Here is a 21,711-nt window from a genome sequence, read left to right as displayed (position 1 = left end):
AGAACAAGTATGATTCCCTTATTAGAGCGTGCTATCCCTCAAAGCCCACTCCCTAAACTGAGAGCAGTGGCGTTCCCACCTTGTGACTTTTCCCACCTCCTCCAGAATGTGGCAGAGCTGGATGGAGCCGAGCCCTGCCACTTACTGCGACCCTGTGCCCCTGTTGTTCCCTCCCTGACTCCATTTCTCCATCTGTAGTTTTCTTTCTTTTTTTCTTTTTTTTTTTTTTTTTTTAGATGAAGTCTTGCTCTGACGCCCAGGCCGGAGTGCAGTGACACAACCTCAGCTCACTGCAACCTCCGCCTCCTGGTTTAAGGGATTCTCATGCCTCAGTCTCCCAAGTAGCTGGGATTACAGGCGCCTGCCACCATGCCCAGCTAATTTTTGTATTTTTAGTAGAGACCGGCTTTCACCATGTTGGCCAGGCTGGTTTCGAACTCCTGACCTCAGGTGATCCACCCACCTCAGCGGTGGATCCCAAAGTCTGGGATTCTTCCCATGGCTGGGATTACAGGCATGAGCCACTCGCACCCGGCCTCCCATCTGTAGCTTTCAAAGAGTCATTGCGAGGATCAAAGGAGTTAAACGCACATCAGCACTTAGCAGAGTGTCACCACTGTCGGCTCCCAACCACGGTGGGGGTAATTTTTTACTTTCCAATTATTCTTCCCCATTGGCAGTATTTTTTTTTTTTTGGAACATTTGTCTGAAATTTGCAGAATAAAAGGTCCCTTGGAGTCAGGGGCTGTTTCCATGGGGCCAGCACAGTATGTGCTTCATAAAGTTTTTTTTCCAGTGCAGAAGACTGGGGATGGAACAAAACTACTTCTGGATTCCGAGGAGGGGGCCCCGCTCTTGAGTTTTAAGGCTTGGGTTTCACAGCTTCATTTGACAAGCTTGAACCTCAGTTTCCTTATTTATAAAGTTGAGGTAATGCCTTCGGCCTTTTGTATATCATTAATAATAGCTACAAATGCAGAATGAAGTGGAGATTGAAGGATGATGACTAGAAATGGGACCTGCCCACAGTCTCTGCTTCCCAGGCCTCAGTTTCCTCCTTTGTGTGATGAAGGAGCTCTGCTGCTCTGGGTGACCTGTGAGTCCCCACCTCCCCACCACTGGTCAGACAGGGTTCATCCCCCTGTCCACTCAAGGGGAGACCCCAATATAGTGTAATGAAGAAAACTGGGGGTCTTGGCAGCTGCAATAACCCTCAAGGGACCATCAAATCCCTCCACTGTGTCCATACAGAGCTGCCTGACCCCAGGCCCAGGAAGGAGCTGGAGTGACCCTTGTCCATCTCTCTCTTTGGGCTCAGAGTCAGTATCTCAGGGCAGCCTTCCCTGTTACCCACACACATCCATCGGCTGCAGATACATGGCACACCGGTAGCCCATTAAACCCCTGCCAGCCTCTACCACGGAAGCCCAGATTCCTCCTGTCAGATGTCACTTTGGAAAGCTGAGAGCAATGGAGTGAGACAGAACAGCAGTTGCAGGAATGCAGTTGGGTTAACAACAATAATACCAACAGCCAGCACTCCCTGTATGCCCAGCTGAGTGCTTTGTGCCGGTTAATTCATTTAAACCCTGAGACAACCTCTGTGGAGCATCCTACTTTTAGCCCTATTCACAAATGCAGAACTTGAAGCACAGAGAAGTGAAGCAACTTGCCCAAGGACACACAGCTCAGCAGTGGTAGGGCTGAGATTCAAGCGCAGGTGGTCTGGCTTCAAAGACTGTAGTTTTAAGTGCTCACTGTGTTTTGCAGCCTCTTCCGTAGGTGGAAGGAAGGGTGAAGGAGAAGCTAAAGAAAGCATGGTGCACCCTAGGCAGGGCTGAAAAACAACAAAGACACCAAGAGAGCACCAGTCACCTGGAATGGCAGAGGGTTTGATACAGGGGAGTTTTTGATACTCTAAAAGTAGTTCAGTCAATACGTAATAATGATAATGGTAACAACAACAGCACCTGACGTTTACAGAGCTCTCGGCAATCTGTGTGCCTACATTCATTCAATGAATCCCATCAACGAATCCTTACAGAGGACCTACTCCATGTTGGGCAACCAATGAACAAAATGAATGCTATCCTTGCCCTCACGGAACTCAAATAAACGTGGAAATAAATATATCAGGGCAAACCCAACTTTAGCTTTCCTTGTTGGCAGGATTAACTCCAGGTCTCAAAGCTTCCCCTCTGAATGGCTTCAAAGTTAGCCATGGCATAAGAGCTCTTGAAAAAATGAAGGTCATTTTCAGAAGGGAGGAGGCAATGGCCTTGCAAGGAGGAGGGAGGGCTAGAGATAATTCTCTCTCCTACCCTGCTGCTGGTACCCTGTACCAATATTTATTTATTCATATTTATTTATTTGTTATTTATTTACTGTATTATATTAATTCATTCTCACATTGTTATAAAGAACTACCTGAGACTGGGTACTTTATTTAAAAAATTAATTAAAATTTTTTAATTTATTAAAAAAAAAGGAGGCTTAATTGAGTCACAGTTCCACAGGCTGTACAGGAGGCATGGCTGGGGAGGCCTCAGGAAACTTACAATCATGGTAGGAGGGTGAAGGGGAAGCAGGCACATTTGCACATGGCAGCAGGAGAGAGAGAAGAGGAAGTGCCACACACTTTTAAACCATCAGTTCTCGTGAGAACTCCCTTACTATCGCAAGAACAGCAAGGGAGAAATCTGCCCCCATGATCCGATCACCTGCCACCAGGTCCCTCCTCCCAACATTGGGAAATATAATTCAACATGAGATTTGGGTGAGGACACAGAGCCAAACCATATCATTTATTTATTTATTTATTTATTTAGGACACAGGGTCTCACTTTGTCACCCAGGCTGGAGTTCAGTGGTGCAGCTGCTCACTGCAGCCTCCAATTCCTGGGCTCAAGTGATCATCCCACCTCAGCCTCCCAAGTGGCTGGGACTACAGGCATGTGCCACCATGCCTGGCTAATTTTTTTTTCTTTTATAGAGACAAGGTCTTACTATGTTGCCTTGGCTGGTCTTTAACTTTTGGCCTTAAGCGATCCTCCTGCCTTGACCTCCCAAAATGTTGGGATTTCAGGCGTGAGCCACCATGCGTGGCCTCCAGTATTTCTCTATACTTTTTTCTTTAGCCCCTAAAGCGAAACTATTTTTCTACTCGCAACACTTCTGACACTAAATATGTGGGTTTTCCATACCAAGTGATTATCCAGTTCTCTGTGGATACCAACTGAGTGTCCTGCAATTGAATTCAATTCTGACACTAACTATCTGGAGTTAGCATAGATCCTACCGGTTAAGGGCTCAGTCCCACAAGACTGTCCCCCACTTCAGAAGCCAGTTGCAAATTTGGGTGCCCATGGTACCCACACTTTTGTCTGACTGGTTGGAGTTGGAGTTGGAGTTCGCATAAGTCCCTGCTCATATTTGATAATTTGCTATAACTGCTCACATAATTCAGGAGACACTTTACTTATATTTATTGGTTTATTATAAGAGATGTGAGAAAGGATATAAAGAACAGTCAGATGAAGAGGAACATAGGGCAAAATCCAGAAGGGTCCCAAGGACAGGAGCTTCTATCACCATGGAGTTGGGGCACACCACCCTCCTAGCACACGGAGGTTTTCAGCAACCCGGAAGCTCTCCAGTTCTGTAGTTGAGGGATTTTTATGGAAGCCTCATCACATAGGCATGAAGAATTATTAGTTCAATCTCTATCCCATCTCTCCTTCCCAGAGGATGAAGGGTGGGACTGAAAGATTCAAGCCTCAATCTGGTGACCAGCCCCCATCCTGAAGCTATCCAGGAGCCCACCAAGAGTGGCCTCATTAGAACAAAAGATGCTCCCAGCACCCCTGTCACTCAGGAAATTACAAGGCTTTTAGGAGCTCTGTCTCAGGAACTGGAAGCACAGACTAAATGCATGTTTCTTATCACGTCACAGCATCCTGAACATTCTTCCTTCTTAGCCCTTCTCTTTATCACCTTGCTCATGGGATGACAAAGTAAGAATAAGCCAGAAGCAGAGATCTTGCTCACCCCAATAATTGTACAAAAGATCTAGCTCAGCTGGGTGCGGTGGCTCAAGCCTGTAATCGCAGCACTTTGGGAGGCCGAGGCGGGCAGATCACGAGGTCAGGAGTTCGAGACCAGCCTGGCCAACATAGTGAATCCCCACCTCTACTAAAAGTACAAAAATTAGCCAGGCATGGTGGTGCGTGACTGTAATCCCAGCTACTCGGGGGACTGAGGCAGGAGAATCATCTGAATCTGGGAGGCAGAGGTTGCAGTGAGCCGAGATGGTGCCATTGCACTCCAGCCTGGGCAACAGGGCGAGACTCCATCCCCCCCACAAAAAAAAAAAAAAAAAAAAACAAAAAAAAAACTCTAGCTGAAGCCCTCTGCTCTCAAATGGCCAAAGATACAACAGTGGATGAGACGGAAAAGGTTTCACACAGGATGCAAGACCCTGCAAGCTAGTGTTGGTTCACTTGTGAAAACCCTCCTTCTTCCCAAATGTTAAAAATTCATGAGCTGCCCAGTTAGGTATAGAAATCACTTCTGATCCAGGGCGTTGCCAAAGTATTACCCATATTCTTGAGATTTCCTAGACATTCATTTGTCTTCATGGTCTGCAATCACTGGAAATACATATCCAGGTCATTCCAAAATATAATTAAACGTCAGACACCATCCATACAACAGAATACTGTGTGGCAATAAAAAGAATGAAGCACTGATAAATGTTACAACATGGATGAACCTTCAAAACAAAGTGGCTGGACGCAGTGGCTCATGCCTATAATCCCAGCACTTTGGGAGGCTGATGTGGTTGTATCACCTGAGATCGAGAGTTCGAGACCAGCCTGACCAACATGGAGAAAACCCGTCTCTACTAAAAATACAAAATTAGCCAGGCGTGGTGGCATGCGCCTGTAATCCCACCTACTTGGGAGGCTGAGGCAGGAGAATTGCTTGACATCTGGAGGGGGAGGTTGCGGTGAGCCAAGATTGCGTGATTGCACTTCAGCCTGGGCAACAAGAGCAAAACGTTGTCTCAAAACAAAACAAAACAAAACAAAACAAAACAAAAACACACATACAAAGTGAAGGAAACTAGTCACAAAAGGCCACATATTGTTTGAGTCCATGTGTCTGAAATGTCCAGAATAGGGAAATCTGTAGAGACAGAAAGTAGAGCATTGGTCATCAGAGGCTGGAAGGGGCTCCAGGGAAATGGGGAAGGACTGGTACTATGTACCGAGTTTCTTTTTGAGTGATAAAAACGTTCTAAACATAGGTAGTGTTGATGGCTGCACAACTCTGTGAATAACCTACAAGCACTGAACTGTACATTTCTTTTTTTGGGGGGGGCAGGGGGACAGAATCTTGATCTGTTGCCCAGGCTGGAGTGCAGCGGTGCAATCTTGGCTCACTGCAACCTCTGCCTCCCGGGTTCAAGCGATTCTCCTGCCTCAGCCTCCCGAGTAGCTGAGATTACAGGCACCCACCACCACACCCAGCTAATTTTTGTATTTTTAGTAGAGACGGGGTTTCACCATATTGCCCAGGCTGGTCTCAAGCTCCTGACCTTGTCATCTGCCTGCCTCGGCCTCCCAAAGTGCTGGGATTACAGGCGTGAGCCACCACACCTGGTCTGAATTGTACATTCTTTTATGACTAGTTTCCTTCACATTTCTAAAAGGGTGAATTTTATGGTATGTGAATTGTATCTCAATAAAGTTGTAAAATAACAGCTGTAAACAGTTTAAAAATTCGGGCACCATCTCTGCAGCTATAGTGGGTCAGATTTCACTGAATTACATTAAAAGGTTATGCAAGATTTACAGGATAAAAACCAGGCAGAGGTCAAGTGCAGTGGCTCACACCTGTAATCCCAGTACTTTGAGAGGCTGAGGTGGGAGGGTTGCTTTAGGCTAGGAGTTTGAGTCCAGCCTGGGCAACAAAGCGAGACCCTGTCTCCTCCAAAAACACTTTTATTTATTTTTTTTTAATTAGCTGGGCATGGTGGCACACGCTTGTAGTCCCAGTTACTGGAGAGGCTGAGGCAGAAGGATTACTTGAGTACAGGAGTTTGAGATTACAGTGAGCTACGACCACGCCACTGTACTCCAGCCTGGGCAACAGAGAAAGACCCTGTCTCTTAAAAAAAAAAAAAAAACACCAGGCAGGATGTCATCACTAGAGTTTAAGTATATTTCTGCACAGGTAAATAAATACATAGAATCATTATTTATATAAGGAATATCAGACAAATTCATTATTCAATGTAATGATAACTTTATTTTATTTTATTTATTTATTTATTCATTTATTGAGACAGAGTCTCACTCTGTCGCCCAGGCTGGAGTAGTGGCTCCATCTCCGCTCACCGAAAGCTCCGCCTCCCGGATTCACGCCATTCTCCTCCCTCAGCCTCCCGAGTAACTGGGACTACAGGCACCTGCAACCACGTCCAGCTAATTTTTTGTATTTTTAGTAGAGACGGGGTTTCACCATGTTAGCCAGGATGGTCTCGATCTCCTGACCTCGTGATCCACCCGCCTCGGCCTCCCAAAGTGCTGGGATTACAGGTGTGAGCCACCAGGCCTGGCCCAATTTAATAACTTTAAAAATAAATTCAAAGCAGATATTTTTACAATAAATAGTACAAAAAGGAAAACTTTAAAAAAAAGAAGAAGAAAAAAAGAGCAATGGCTATCACTGTATCAAGTACTAATTTGAAGGAGGGGGAGTTGTACTGATTTTAACTGCGTATCAGTTTAAATTATCCCCAAAGAGTTTCTGGCTAGGATCCAGATACCTATAACATGTATTTTACATGAAAACTCAAATCTTCACAACAACGTCGATTTTGGGTGTGCTTATTCCCATTTATAGGTAAAGCAGCTGAGACTGGAAAGGCTAAGAAACTTGCCAAGGATATCCCCATAGGAACTGATGCTAATGATATTTAAACGCAAGTCTGCCTGGCTTCAAAGCCTATCTTCTCTCTTCCAGCTAATTTCATGGCACTGCACAAATAGTTTCTCTGAACCAGATGAAATGCCTTTGCCTACAGCCCCAAGCAAACAGTATTTCTTCTATGCAATACCAAGACAACAGTACTTTTAAACAAAAGTTTACATTTATCTTTAATCTTAAGACATTAAATGTGTGAACATCAACTGAAGCAAAGAAATGTGGACACTGAAGTAATTGTTATTCAACTATTTTCTGAAGTAACTAAGAAGAACAGTAATTCCCATATTAAGGATCATCTGACATGGGCTGGGCATGGTGGCTCACACCTGTAATCCCAACACTTTGGGAAGCCGAAGCGGGCGGATCATTTGACGTCAGGAGTTCGAGACCACTCTGGCCAACATGGCAAAACCCCACCTCTACTAAAAATACAAAAAAATTAGCTGGGCGTGGTGGCACGTGCCTGTAATCCCAGCTACTCAGGAGGCTGAGGTGGGGGAATCGCTTGAACCCAGGAGGCGGAGGTTGCAGTGAGCCGAGATCACACCACTGCACTCCAGCCTGGGTGACAGACAGAGCGAGACTCCATCTCAAGAATAAATACTTTTTTTAAAAGGGTCATCTGACTTGGAAAGGGGTGCTTTTCCCCATCTACAGATGCAGCTGGAACAAGACTGTCAAAAAAAGTAAATTATAGCACAAGCCCAGAGGGTCTGTGATCCCGCAGCTGCGTGTATCCATGTGGCTCAGGGTGGTCTTCGCTTCCCCGTCATTTAGGATCATTCAGACCCTCCCCAGAGCCACAGTTTGCTGGAGATGTTGTCTGCATGGTGAGTGTCACCCAGGAGGATCCTCATGGGAGACTGAACCTGTTCTATGCTATAAACATCACACAGGCAAGAACAAGAAAAGCAGACAAATATTGCCATCCTATCAGTTTGTTTATTTTTGACTATTCCGTTTCTCAGGGAAACAGGAAATGTAAGATAATGGAATATTTGTTTTTTGGTAGGGCAGATTTCGTTTCATTTTTCTGAATATGCTACCGGTATTTTCCCAAGACAGACTTAAGGTGGAAGGAGGTGATGCAGGGAGTTCAGAGGTGGGATTAGAAGGCCAGAGAGCTCGAGGCTGGGCAGGGAGACCACAGACCTCACTCTGCAAACATCTCCTGGGCCCTCCTGTGTGCCTGACCAGGGTCAGGACAGGTATAAGGATGAAGAAGGCAGGCAGGATCTCTATCTTGGGCACCTGGGCGGGTGGTGGCAGCGTTGACTGAGGTTGGGGTACAAGAAGAGAAGAGAACATTTTTGATGGGAATTCATGCAGTTGTTTGGAAATGTTGAGTTGCAGGTTCTGCAGCAGCACCTGGCGGCCGGGATCAGGAGGCAGGTCTGTCATTCAGGAGAGGCCTGAGGGTTCAATGTTGAGCAGCCACAGACACTGCCCCACCGCTTCTCTTGGAGTCAGACATTCCTCAACAATCACACAGATCCATTTGAAATGGCTAAGAAGGAAGAACAGATGAGCAGACTGTGACATAGGCAGGGAGATGCAAGCCAGCTGCTTGGGGAGGTGATGTTGGAGCTGACTTCTGAAGCATGCAGACATGGACACAGGAAGGGGAACATCACACATAGGGGCCTGTTGTGGGGTGGGGGGAGGCGGGGAGGGACAGCATTAGGAGATATACCTAATGTTAAATGACGAGTTAATGGGTGCAGCACACCAACATGGCACATGTATACATATGTAACAAACCTGCACGTTGTGCACATGTACCCTAAAACTTAAAGTATAATAAAAATAAATAAATAAATAATTATTTTTTAAATAAATACTTATTTAAAAATTAAAAAAATAAAAAATAAAAAATAAAGAGTTGGCTGAATGAAGAGGAGCAGAGAGGGACTTCGCTGCAGGCAATAAAAACAGCATATGCAAAGCCCCTGTGGCCAGAGGGGACAGCACTAGTATACTAGTATCCAGGCTGGGGAGAAAGCCACTGAGCCTGGGCCAGAGAGGCTGATGGGGGAGTGTGGGTAAGATGGGTTTGGAGCAGAAGGCAGGGGTCAGACCACACAGAGCCCCGTAAGCCGTGAAGTTTTGTCTTAACATATTTGCGTTTCCACATTTCACTCCTCTAAATGGCATTTGGTAGATTTGTCACAACATGGCAGAATTACAGAAGAGTTGCAAAGGTCATCTTGTCTGTGCTCCTCCTCCTGACAGGAGTGTCTCTATGTGCCGTGCTTAAAATTCCAAGGAGAGTCTGTCAGATGCTACACAGCAAGGTTAAGCTTTATGAAGCAGCCGTGGGAGTGCTCCTGTGCTTTCTGTTGAATGAGTCTGTTTTAAATGTCTACCACAAACCCCATTTCCGGGCTGCCCCATTTCTGTCAAAGGCTTCGTAACGCGCTCCCTGCTCACAACCTGGGCCTCAGGCTTCCTTCCCCTTCCCTTCCCTTCCTGCTTCCAAGGAATAACAGATCAGCCTTTGACATCCCATGGCCCCCACTTGCTGCCGTGCCCCTGAGATCATAGATGTGGAGGAGATGAGAGCAAGGGCAGACTGCCGTCCTACTCCAGGCCAGCCAGGCCCTGGGCATCCTCTAAGTTCATTTGTGCCTCTCCACTAGCAACAACCATCCAGTGACCAACTCCTCAGTGACCAAAATCTATTATAATGTCCATTCCTCCCATCAATCTGGTGGGATTCAAGTGATCTTCCTATTTGGGGCATGAGGAAACTGAGTCACAGAGTGGTCGGTGACTTACCCAAGGGCTCACAACTGTAAATGTGGGAGCCAGAAGTGAACTGGCATCCTTCTACCCATGTCCATGCTGCTGCCACCTTGCCCTGCCCTGCCCAGTGATGACTGCAGCCAGTCTTGTCCTAACAGGTCTGCTGGCCTCCACCCACGTGCTCCAGTTCTGGGTGCAGGGGAAGCACTGGATGATCATAGTTGTCCAGAGGCGGCACCATGCAGGAGGGAGCAGGGGCGGGTGGCTCTGGCTGAATCCTAGCTCTTCCACTTTCTTGCTGAGTGATCTTAGGCCAAAAACTTCACCTCTCTTTGCCTTTATTTCCATGTATGTAAAATGGAATAAAGATAGGAGCTACCTCACAGAAGAAGTATCAAGAGGCTTACGTGGGGCGATATATGTAAAGTGCTTAGCCCCATGCCTGGTACACACTAAGGGCTCAAGAGATATGAGCTGTTGTTTCCACAGCCTCCAGAGAACTCTTCCTAAAGCCTGCTCTACAGGTGTCTACCCCACTGCATCCAAACCCTCGACGGCTGCCTGGTAGCCATGAAACACAGTTCAAACTCCTACCTCTGGTGCCAGGCCCTTCCCAAGCTTGCCATTCCTGATCTGTCCGCCCTAATTCTGGCTGCATCCCCAACAAACCTTCCACTCGAATCACCACATTCCTCCTGACTCTGCCTGTTCGCATATGACTTCTCCCGCTTGTTGTGGGAGACTTCGTCTAATACGCATTCAACAAACGCGCTTACTGTCTGCCGGGCCTTGTGGAGAGTCTAGAGACGCAGTGGTAAACAAAACAAGCAAAGTTCCTGTCCTCAGACCACCTATGGGGAGTGGAGAAACAGACAGTTAAAAAAAAGATGAATGTATAATTCTTTTTTTTTTTTTTTTTTTCTGAGATGGAGTCTCGCTCTATCGCCCAGGCTGGTGTGCAGTGGCGCCATCTCGGCTCACTGCAAGCTCCACCTCCCGGGTTCACACCATTCTCCCGCCTCAGCCTCCCGAGTAGCTGGGACTACAGGCACCCGCCACCACGCCCGGCTAATTTTTTTGCATTTTTAGTAGAGAGTGGGTTTCACCGTGTTAGCCAGGATGGTCTCGATCTCCTGACCTCGTCATCTGCCCGCCTCAGCCTCCCAAAGTGCTGGGATTACAGGCGTGAGCCACCGCGCCCAGTCATGAATGTATAATTCTAAATGGTGTCTAGAGCTAGGAAAAGAGAACTCTCAGAGTGAGATAGAGAAGATAACAGGAAGTGCCTACGGGAGACCAGTGGCCCGGGAGGGCTTTTCAGGGACAGAATTTCAGCGGAGACATGAGTATGAGACGGGACTGGCCTAGAAAAGAGTGTGAGGGAGGGTATCTCAGCGGAGACATGAGTATGAGACGGGATTGGCCTAGAAAAGAGTGTGAGGGAGGGTATCTCAGGGAAACAGGGAACAGCTTACGCAAAGACCGTGGCTGGAGGGAGTGCGGCACATTCAGTAAAGAACTGAAAGGTCAGTAGGCTGTAACTGGGAGTTAGGGGTTGGGCTGAGGAGGAGGAGGGAGACACATGAGATGAAACAGAAGACATGGGGGAGAGCTGGATCAGGCAGAGCCTTGGAGGCAGGAAATGGAGGCCAGCTCCTCCTGGAAGTCTTCCCAGACTTCAGTCCTTGATTTCTTCCTCCAGATTCTTCTCGATCTTGATTTTCCCATCGCTTACGTAGGACCAGACTCTGACTATTTAAATCTTCAGAGTCAAGAACATAGGAGGAGTTGCCTCCTTTGGTGGGAGGCTGTCCGGGCCACTCTAAAGTCCTGTTTCTCTGACTCTGTGGATTGAGGATGCGGCTGTGACTAGGCTGACCTGGGCTTCCACTCCCATCTCTAATCCTCCCAAGGGAACACCCAGCATAGGCACTGGGCTACCCCGAGTATTTTGGTTTCTTTGGGTTCTTTTGAATAAAGCCCTTATCTGGGTGGGGATCTCTGTTTTCCAAAATCGGTCTGCCCCTTCTGACAGGATGTCAGGCCTCTTACGCCACTGGGCAGTGCTGCACTCTGGAGTGCCCAGGGCATGTGAGCGGGACAGGGAGCCTGTGAGAGGCTGATGCAGACCTCGGCATCCCCAGGGGAACTAAATAAAGCTATTGTTGGGAAGGGAAGAGAGAAAATAGCCGGCAAGATGTTTTTTGTCCTCTGTGACCTGTCTGTGTTTGGGGAGGGGCTGGCATGTTGCAAAGGGGTAGAAGTGGGAATGGCCTTCGACACCCATTTGAACAGCTTGGGAAGTGGGGTGGCCACAGGGCAGCAGCACCGTCTTCACTGTCTGGCTTCGGGCAAAGGGCTGTGTTTTCTTTCTTTCTTTTTTTTTTTTTTCTTTTTTTTTGAGACGGAGTCTCGGAGTCTCGCTCTGTCGCCCAGGCTGGAGTGCAGTGGCACGATCTCGGCTCACTGAAAGCTCCACCTCCTGGATTGACGCCATTCCCCTGCCTCAGCCTCCCTAGTAGCTGGGACTACAGGTGCCCGCCACCATACCTGGCTATTTTTTTTTTTTTTTGTATTTTTAGTAGAGATGGGATTTCACCATGTTAGCCAGGATGGTCTCCATCTCCTGACCTTGTGATCCGCCCGCCTTGGCCTGCCAAAGTGCTGGGATTACAGGCATGAGCCACCGCGCCCGGCCAGCGCTGTGTTTTGTTATCTATAACATGGGGGAGGGAAAGGATGCTACCATCCATAAAGTGCCTGGTCCCGTTCCTGGCCCTTCTTACATGACAATAAATACAGTCACTTTTAGCCTGGAGGTAATATGGTGGCTGATTCACCCCGTATGCAATGCCATGGCATCCGGTTTCATTTCTTGAGCTCTAACAACTGACTTTAGAAATAGAAGCCTGGGCGACAGAGCGAGACTCCATCTCAAAAAAAAAAAAAAGAATGTCTCCAAATTCTGCTGGTTCTCCCTTTGAAAATCTCCTGGACTGGCCTGGAGGAATTAAAACACTAGCTCATAAGGACATGTGTACAAAGATGTTTAATGAAGTCTCGTTTATAGTAGCAGAGAGAGAATGAATAACACAAATGTCTATTAATAGGAAACCAGTGCACGTGTACATGTGTAGACGGTGCAGCTATTATTAAAACTATCAGGATTGGCTGGGCGCGGTAGCTGACGCCTGTAATCTCAGCACTTTGGGAGGCCGAGGCAAGCGGATCACAAGGTCAGGAGATGAAGACCATCCTGGCCAACATGGTGAAACCCCGTCTCTACTAAAAATACAAAAATTAGCTGGGCATGGTGGCTCGTGCCTGTAATCCCAGCTACTCAGGAGGCTGAGGCAGGAGAATCGCTTGAACCAGGGAGTTGGAGGTTGCAGTGAGCTGAGATCGTGTCACTACACTCCAGCCTGGCAACAGAGCAAGACTCTGTCTCCAAAAACAAACAAACAAACAAACAAAACAAAACAAAACAAAAAACTATCGGGATAGAACTATCTTTATTGACATGGGAGGAGGGGTGTATACAGTGTGACGTTAAGAGATAAGAGCTATTTTCAAAAATACAAACATCAGCCTCAGCCATATCCGTGCATACGTGTTTGCAAAGATTGCACGTGGTGAGGGATGGGCAGGAATACACCCCAGACACACTGGGGAGGTGAGATTAGTTACCTGGTCTGGAGAAGGGGAGTGGGGAAAGATAGAAGAAAATAAAAACATCTGTAGCAAAAATAAGAAAACACTTATGGTATAATATTAAGTGAGAAGATAGATGCAAAATTCTACCTCTAATATTGTTGTAAAGTATCCTGGGGGTTTTATTGGACATATAAAAATTATAAGGTAATGTGGACCAATGCAAACACTGATTTGGTTAGACAATGAGATTGTAGACAATTTTTGTCTTGAATTTCTCTGGTCATTTTAATACTATTATTTCAATAAAGAAGTGTCACAAAAAAAAAAAAAGAAAAGAAAAGAAAAGCTCTGGGAGTGCTCCCACTCCCTCTACCATTTCTTCCCAGTCCAGGCCCAACCAGTGGCATTTACTGTCTTTAGAATGAATTCCAAACTGGCCCCTGGCCCTTCAGTCACCACTAGCACAAATCCATCCTGCCCACAGCTGGCAGGTCGCTCCCCGGTTCCAGAACTATCCTGCTTCCCCACTGTCCATCCAAGCAACCTGAACTCCCCTCTTTGGTTTCAAAGGCCCCCAATAATCTGGCCCCAAATTACCTCTTCTGTGTCCCCAGCACTAGCCCGGAGTCTTGCCAGCCCATACGTGGTTCTAAAAAGATTGCTGTTTCCCACAAGTCAAAGTAAAAAATGGCAAAGGAGGCTGGGCGCAGTGGCTCACGCCTGTAATCCCAGCACTTTGGGAGGCCAAGGCGGGTGGATCACGAGGTCAGGAGATCCAGACCATTCTGGCTAACACGGTGAAACCCCGTCTCTACTAAAAATACAAAATATTAGCCGGGCGTGGTGGCGGGCGCCTGTAGTCCCAGCTACTCCGGAGGCTGAGGCAGGAGAATGGCGTGAACCCAGGAGGCAGAGCTTGCAGTGAGCTGAGATCGCACCACTGCACTCCAGCCTGGGCGACAGAGCAAGACTCCATCTCAGAAAAAAAAAAAGAAAGAAAAAAAAAGGCAAAGGAAAATTTCCCCTAGTATCAGGAAAATCCATTGCTTTGGATGAATTCTGAAATGTTTTCTGTGAAATATCTTACTTAAACATTCTCAGATTTTGCTAGATTGACTTTCTGTGTTCTCTAAATACAGATACAGCACCTACTCCACAATTTCTAGCAATGAACACATTCCTCCAATTTCATTTAAGAACCCTGGAGAAGGACATGCCGTTCAAATATACAATTCTGTTCAGCAATCACCTGCAAAATAGATTTATTGCAGATCAAATCATATTAAGTGGCCGGGAGGGGTGGCTCACGCCTGTTATCCCAGAACTTTGGCAGGCCGAGGTGGGTGGATTACCTGAGGTCAGGAGTTCGGGACCAGCCTGGCCAACATAGTGAAACCCGGTCTCTACTGAAAATACAAAAATTAGCCAGGCATGGTGGCACAGCCTGTAATACCAGCTACTCGGAAGTCTGAGGCAGGAGAATTGCTTGAGCCCAGGAGACAGAGGTTGCAGTGAGCCGAGATTGTGCCACTGCACTCCAGCCTGGCAGACAGAGCAAGACTCTGTCTCAAAAAAAAAAAATCATATTAAGTTGCATAAAATAAATCCTTCCTTCCTATGGGTCTTTGTTTATTAGAGCTCATGAAGAATCTAAACATGCCCCACGGGAAGACCGTGGTGGTCTGCACCATTCACCCTTGGGGGAACTCTGTGCCTTCTATCCATCCACCCACAACCTACTCATCCTTCAGAACCCTGGTCAGAGCCTCATTTCCTCTGGAGCAGGGGTCCCCCACCTCTGGGCCACAGACCAGTACAGGTCCATGGCCTGTTAGAAACAGAGCTGCACAGCAGAAGGTGAGCCGTGGGTAAGTGAGTGAGGCTTCATCTGTATTTACAGCCACTCTGCATCACTCGCACGACCGCCTGAGCCCCATCTCCTGTCAGATCAGAGGCAGCATTAGATTCTCATAGGAGTACTAACCCTGTCGTGAATTGCGCATTCGAGGAATGTAGGTTGCCCTCTCGTTATGTAAATCTAATGCCTGATGATCTGTCACTGTCTCCCATCACCCCCAGATGGGACTGTCTAGTTGCAAGAAAACAAGCTCAGGGCTCCCACTAATCCTACATTATGGTGAGTTGTGTAATTATTTCATCATGTATTACAAGGTAATAATAATAGAAATAAAATGCACAATAAATGCAATGCTCTGGAATCATCCTAAAACCATCCCCTCATCCCCCTCTAGTTCGTGTAAAAATTCTCTTCCACAAAACTGGTCCCTGGTGCCAAAAATGTTGGGCTCTGCTCTGGAGACTTGCACATGACCGCGACGTACCCCACAGCTTCCTGCCATGCTGCCTCACTCTGCTCTTTCATTGTACAGCCCATGGGTCCAAGCAGATAATAAATCCTCTGAGGGCAGAAATCTTGTCTCAACCTTTGGTGTGCCCCAACCAGCACAAGACACATAACTAGCCACATAGTTCTCATTCAGTCGTGCCCACGCAATTGATTTGATATTATTTTATTGATCACTATCATGGGGGGTGGGGAGCATTTATTACACCCCAGATATGCATATGATTCCCAGAAAAGTGTGCCTTGATGGAGAGAGTGCTTGATGGAGAGTCAAGACACATAAACTTGACTTCCGGCGCAGTGGCTCACACCTGTAATCCCAGCACTTTGGGAGGCTGAGGCGGGCGGATCACGAGGTCAGGAGATCGAGACCATCCTGGCTAACACAGTGAAACCCCATCTGTACTAAAAATACAAAAAATTAGCCGGGCATGGTGGCGGGCACCTGTAGTCCCAGCTACTCGGGAGGCTGAGGCAGGAGAATGGTGTGAACCCGGGAGGCGGAGCTTGCACTGAGCCGAGATCGCACCACTGCACTCCAGCCTGAGCGACAAAGCGAGACTCTGCCTCAAAAAAAAAAAAAAAGTACATCAGGGGCTTCAGCTGTCTAAGCAGTGTTTTATTTCTTAAGCAAGCTGATGTCTGTAATATTGCTCTTTAAGGCTTTTTCCATATGTGAAATATTTCATAATTATTATTAAGTTAACAAGTAATAACCACCAGGAGTATTCTCATTACATAATATTAAGTGGAAAGAGCAAGAACCAAGACTGGATATCCACTATACTCCCAATTTTGTAAAAACAGAACAAATCAAGGGAAAACCTCAATACAGATTTTTTTTAAAAGAGCAGCAGATAATAAACCAAAACTGTTAGCAGTCTGAGGATGATTTTTATTGACGTCTTTATACTTAAGGTAATTGATATATATATCAATCAATAAGGTAACTGATGAGGTTCTTTCAATTAATCTTATCATATTTTGCAAAGTTTTTATAGTGAGTACTTATTGCTTTTGGAATCAAAATCAAATGTTGCTGTTTTTTTAACATGTATGTATTCACCATAGACACCAGGGTATGGTAAATTTTAGCCTGAAATCAAGGAAAAAAAAAACTATGGCTGGGCGCAGTGGTTTCCGGGGCTGGAATCCTAGCACTTTGGGAGGCTGAGGCAGGCGGATCACCTGAGGTCAGGAGTTCAAAATCAGCCTGACCAACATAGCGAAACCCCGTCTCTACTAAAAATACAAAAATTAGCCAGGCATGGTGGCACATGCCTGTAATTCCTGCTATTTGGGAGGCTGAGGCAGGAGAATCGCTTGAACCCAGGAGGCAGAGATTACAGTGGGCCAAGATCGTGCCACTGCACTTCAGCCTGAGCGAAAGAGTGAGACTCTGTCTCAAAAAAAATATTATTTAAAGTCTACTGCAGGCCACTCTTGTGCTAGACTAAAAGGGAACTGTTCAACTCAAGCTGGGAGTCTGACAGACCCAAGTTCAAGTCCCAGCTCCACCCCTTCCCAGCAACTCACTTGAGTCTCGATTTTCTTATCTGTAAAATGGTGATTAAAATACTTTCCCTGGTTGCCTTCTAAGGCCAGTGTGGGGGTAAAATGAGATGAGGGCCACAGAATGGCTTTGTGATGCACAGGCGGCCTTCTGCAGAGGCTCAGCAGCTACTACAGGACAGACCAGGCAAGAGACATCAAGAGGGCAAGGCTGCGTTCCTTCGGTGCCCACAGTGTAAGAGGACAGACAGTGCTGTCCATGGACAGCCGAGGAGAAGGGGTCAGGATGGCCCCCAGTTGGGAATGGTCCACATGGAAGGAAGTTATGTTATTAGTACATAACTAGGAGGGATAACCTTTGCCCTCACGCAATGCAAAATGTTCTTCTAGAAATCAAGAAAACACCCTCAAAAAACACATGAACAACATGAAAGGGGGAAAGCAAAGCTCAGGCCTGAGTCCTGGCTTCCTAGCTCCCTGGTTAAGTGATGGTGTGTGTGGGGAAGTATACAGTCTTTCCAGCCCAACTGTCTCACTTGTGTCAGAGGGAGAAGCATGCATGCCTCCTAGGTCTTGCTGAGGGGCCTGATTGAAGGACAGATTCAGTATCGAGCACCTTCCCTGGATCAGGCCGTGTTCTAGGAGCTGGGGGTGCAGCAGGGAACCAACCCAGCAAGGCTGCTGTCCTCAAGTGTGGCTTCCTAAGGGAGGTGACGCAGAGCAGTCGCTCAGCACGGAGCCTATGTGGTACAGTCGATAAACGCTTGTGCCAGAGGCAGACATGGCCGCTATTATTAAGCAGCCTCGTATGGTGGCCTGGGGAGGCTTAAGGGAAGTAGTGAAAGTTTTCAGGTGGTTGAAGTGTTATTTGAAAGAATAATGGGCCAGGCGCGGTGGCTCACACCTGTAACCCCAGCACTTCAGGAGGCAGAGGCAGGCGGATCCCCTGAGGTCAGGAGTTCAAGACCAGCCTGGCCAACATGGTGAAACCCCATCTCTACTAGAAATACAAAAATTAGCCAGGCATGGTGGCAGGCATCTGTAATCCCAGCTACTTGGGAGGCTGAGGCAGGAGAATCACTTGAACCCTGGAGGCAAAGGTTGCAGTGAGCTGAGATCGTGCCATTGCACTCCAGCCTGGGCAACAAGAGCAAGACTTGTCCCAAAAAAAAAAAAAAAAAAAAAAAAAAAAAGAGAATAATGTAAGACAGGAGTATGCCAGGAATAATTAAGCTTCCATTCACTGAGTGCCACACATGTAATAACTCAATCCTCACAGCAACCCCGTGGGATACTATTATTATCGTCTTCATTTGACAAATGAAGAAACTGAGGCATGGGTCAATGCAATAACTTGCCTGAAGTTGCACAGCGGTAAAGCCAAGATTGGAAACCAGTTGGTTTGTCCCACTCCATTGTCTCTGCAGATTGATGGGTGCCCCAGACAAGCTGGTCTTAAGAGCTCAGAGCTTCCTTTGGAAGCCAAAAGCACTGACATTGAGGGTGTTTGGGCCATGGCTGGGTGACCATCTGTCGAAGCATTCTTGTGGGGATTCCCGACCATATGAAATGAATGGATCTTTCTATGGAACAAGCAGCACCCAGAGCCTTGGTGGCAATGCTCTGAGATGTTAAGAGTGACTTCTTCTTGTCTCTTTCAGGTCACAGCCCCACACTTCCCGGTGGTAGTCAAGCTGGGACATGCCCACGCTGGAATGGGAAAGGTATGAGAAACAGCCCTTCCACTCACAGTGGACACACCCAGAGATTCCCCAGACTACCTGTTCCTCTCTCCCTCTGTCACCCATCAACCCCTTAGCACAGGCACCCAGAACAGAGTGTTAGAAAGAATCCATAGTACATCTCCTTCCCCTCCCAGCCCACCTTCCTCAGAGCTCCTGGTGCACAGAACATCTCTCCAGTTCAGTCCATCCTTGCCAAATCCTACCTGGAATTGCTAACTAATCATTCTCTATGATTGCGACTGAAGAGAAAGAGATGTAGAGCATTTTATTGAGCGTAATTATTTTGTAAGGGGTTGCTGTCATCATCTCCACAGCCATGTTGTAAGCCCATGTCTTACTCATCTCTTTATTAGTCCATTCTCACGCTGCTCTAAAGAAATACCTGGAACTGGGTAATTTTAAAGAAAAGAGGTTTAATGGCTGTGGCTCCACAGGCTGTATGGGAAGCATGGCTGGGGAGGCCTCAGGAAACTTTCAACTGTGTCAGAAGGCGAAAGGGAAGCAGGCCTGTCTTACATGCCTGGAGCAGGAGGAAGAGAGAGAAAGGGGAGGTGCTACACACTTTATTTTGTTTTTGAGACAGAGCCTCGCTCTGTCACCCAGGCTGGTGTGCAGTAGCGTGATCTCGGCTCACTACAGCCTCCACCTCCCAGGTTAAAGTGATTATCATGCCTCAGCCTCCCAAGTAGGTGGGACTGCAGGTGTGTGCCATAATACCTGGCTAATTTTTGTATTTTTAGTAAAGACTGGGTTTCACCATGTTGGCCAGGCTGGTCTCAAACTCCTGACCTCAAGTGATCCACCCGTCATGGCCTCCCACAGTGTTGGGATTATAGGCGTGAGCCACCACACCTGGCCAAAGTGCTACACACTTTTAAACAACCAGATCTCGTGAGAACTCACTCACTATTACAAGAACAGCAAGGAGAAAATCTGCCCCCATGATCCAATCACCTCCCACCAGGCCCCTCTTCCAACATGGGGGATTACAGTTTGACATGAGATTTGGGTGGGGACCCAAATGCAAACCATATCAATCACTGTAGGGCTGCTGACACCTAGAAAATGGCAAACACATCTGGCTTCATGGAAGAAGCCCCCAGAGTCAGTTAACTGCAAAAGTCAATAATATAATATATCTCACACAGTCACAAATAACATCCTGACAAACTATATTGGTCAGACTCCTTCAGTTGCAAGTGTCAAAATGTTCAAGATATTAGGATGTCTGAGATAGTTCTTGGTAGGAATCTACCAAGATCAGCAGAGCTGGATCCAGGAGTTCAAATGAAATAGAGCTTGATCTCCCTCTTTATCTCTTGGCTCTGTTCATCTCTACTTGGCATTTTCTTCAGACAGTCAAAATGGCTGTGAGCCACCCAACCTGGTCCCTAAGCTCACCATCCCCAAAGGATAAAGACCCTCTTTTTGTCCAGCACCTCTGTATCTAATCCCATGGAACCTTGCTTGGATCAATGTACTTGGCCTCAACAATGGGATGTAGAGATAGTTTAACACCAGTCAAACCATGTGCATCAGAGTCCCACAGGAAAGGGGGCACTGGGGGTCTCCCACAGTTTGCCTCTCAAGCCTCTGGTTCAGAAACAAGTGGGAACATGTGGGTCTCAGTACCTGCCACTCACATTGGAGGGGACTTGAGCCCAGACACAATGCCCAACATAGTGGGTCCTAGATAAAGTACAGCTGGAGTTAAACAATGTGAGGCCAAGTAGACACCTTTCTTTGAGTAGGCCCACCCAGACGTGAATAATTCTTCACCTCACATCTATAGTTTTCCCTACCCTGTTATACCTTCTGTATGGCTAAACTCCATTCCCTTCAGGCAGCCTAAAAAGGAATGGGTCAGCTGGGCGTGGTGGCTCACGCCTATAATCCCAGAACTTTGGGAGGCCAAAGAGGGTGGATCACCTGAGGTTCGGAGTTAGAGACCAGCCTGACCAACCTGGAGAAACCCCGTCTCTACTAAAAATACAAAAATTAGCCAGGCGTGGTTGCGCATGCCTGTAATTCCAGCTACTTGGAAAGCTGCGGCAGGAGAATCGCTGGAACCTGGGAGGTGGAGGTTGCGGTTAGCCGAGATCACGCCATTGCACTCCAGCCTGGGCAACAAGAGTGAAATTCAGTCCAAAAAAAAAAAAGAAAAGAAAAATCAAAACAAAAGGAATGGGTCAGGCAGATCAGGGCATGACCCATAGCTTGGACATCTTCATAAACTTGGGTGAGTTACCATCTAACTTCTCTTGGTTTCCTCATCAGTCAAATGATAATTCTAATAACTATCTTTTAAAAAGAGTCCTCCCTTCAGAGTATATCTCTCTAGAAAGTACACACCTTGAGGGCAGGAAGTTCTGCCTGGTTTTCCACTGCTGTATCCCAGAGCCCTGAGTGGCACCCGGTACACAGGAGGCCCCCTGCCCCACTTCTTGCTTGGGTGGATGAATGAACGAACCCCTCTTTAACCATCATCCTATGTCTGCCCCCCAATTCCCTTGTCTCCCACTGCCTCTTCCATCCTTGCATATGGCTCCAGCCCCCTCCACTCCACTAAAGCTGTCCTCTCAGTGGTCTCCAATGATCGTCTGTTGCTAATTCAGCAGGCACTTTTCTGTCCTTATTGGAATCCACCTCTCTCTATCATTTACAGTGGCTGGCCATCCTTCTGTCCCAAACTCTCCT

At 47.1% G+C, this 21,711-nt stretch overlaps 1 protein-coding gene across 18 annotated transcripts in view; it reads left to right on the top strand.

The window, feature by feature from the left end:
• The window catches only part of SYN3 (synapsin III), a 550,562-nt gene that overhangs the window by 442,715 nt on the left and 86,136 nt on the right, over positions 1-21,711 (top strand). For all 18 annotated transcript variants that reach the window (NM_001369909.1, NM_001369907.1, NM_001135774.2 and 15 more), the window contains one exon: positions 18,931-18,993. In NM_001369909.1, the coding sequence (NP_001356838.1) occupies positions 18,931-18,993 (63 nt within the window). The remainder of the gene's footprint in view (positions 1-18,930; positions 18,994-21,711) is intronic.

Source organism: Homo sapiens, chromosome 22 (assembly GCF_000001405.40).
Source record: "Homo sapiens chromosome 22, GRCh38.p14 Primary Assembly".
NCBI lineage: Eukaryota > Metazoa > Chordata > Mammalia > Primates > Hominidae > Homo > Homo sapiens.
This window is presented reverse-complemented; position numbering and strand designations above follow the sequence as displayed.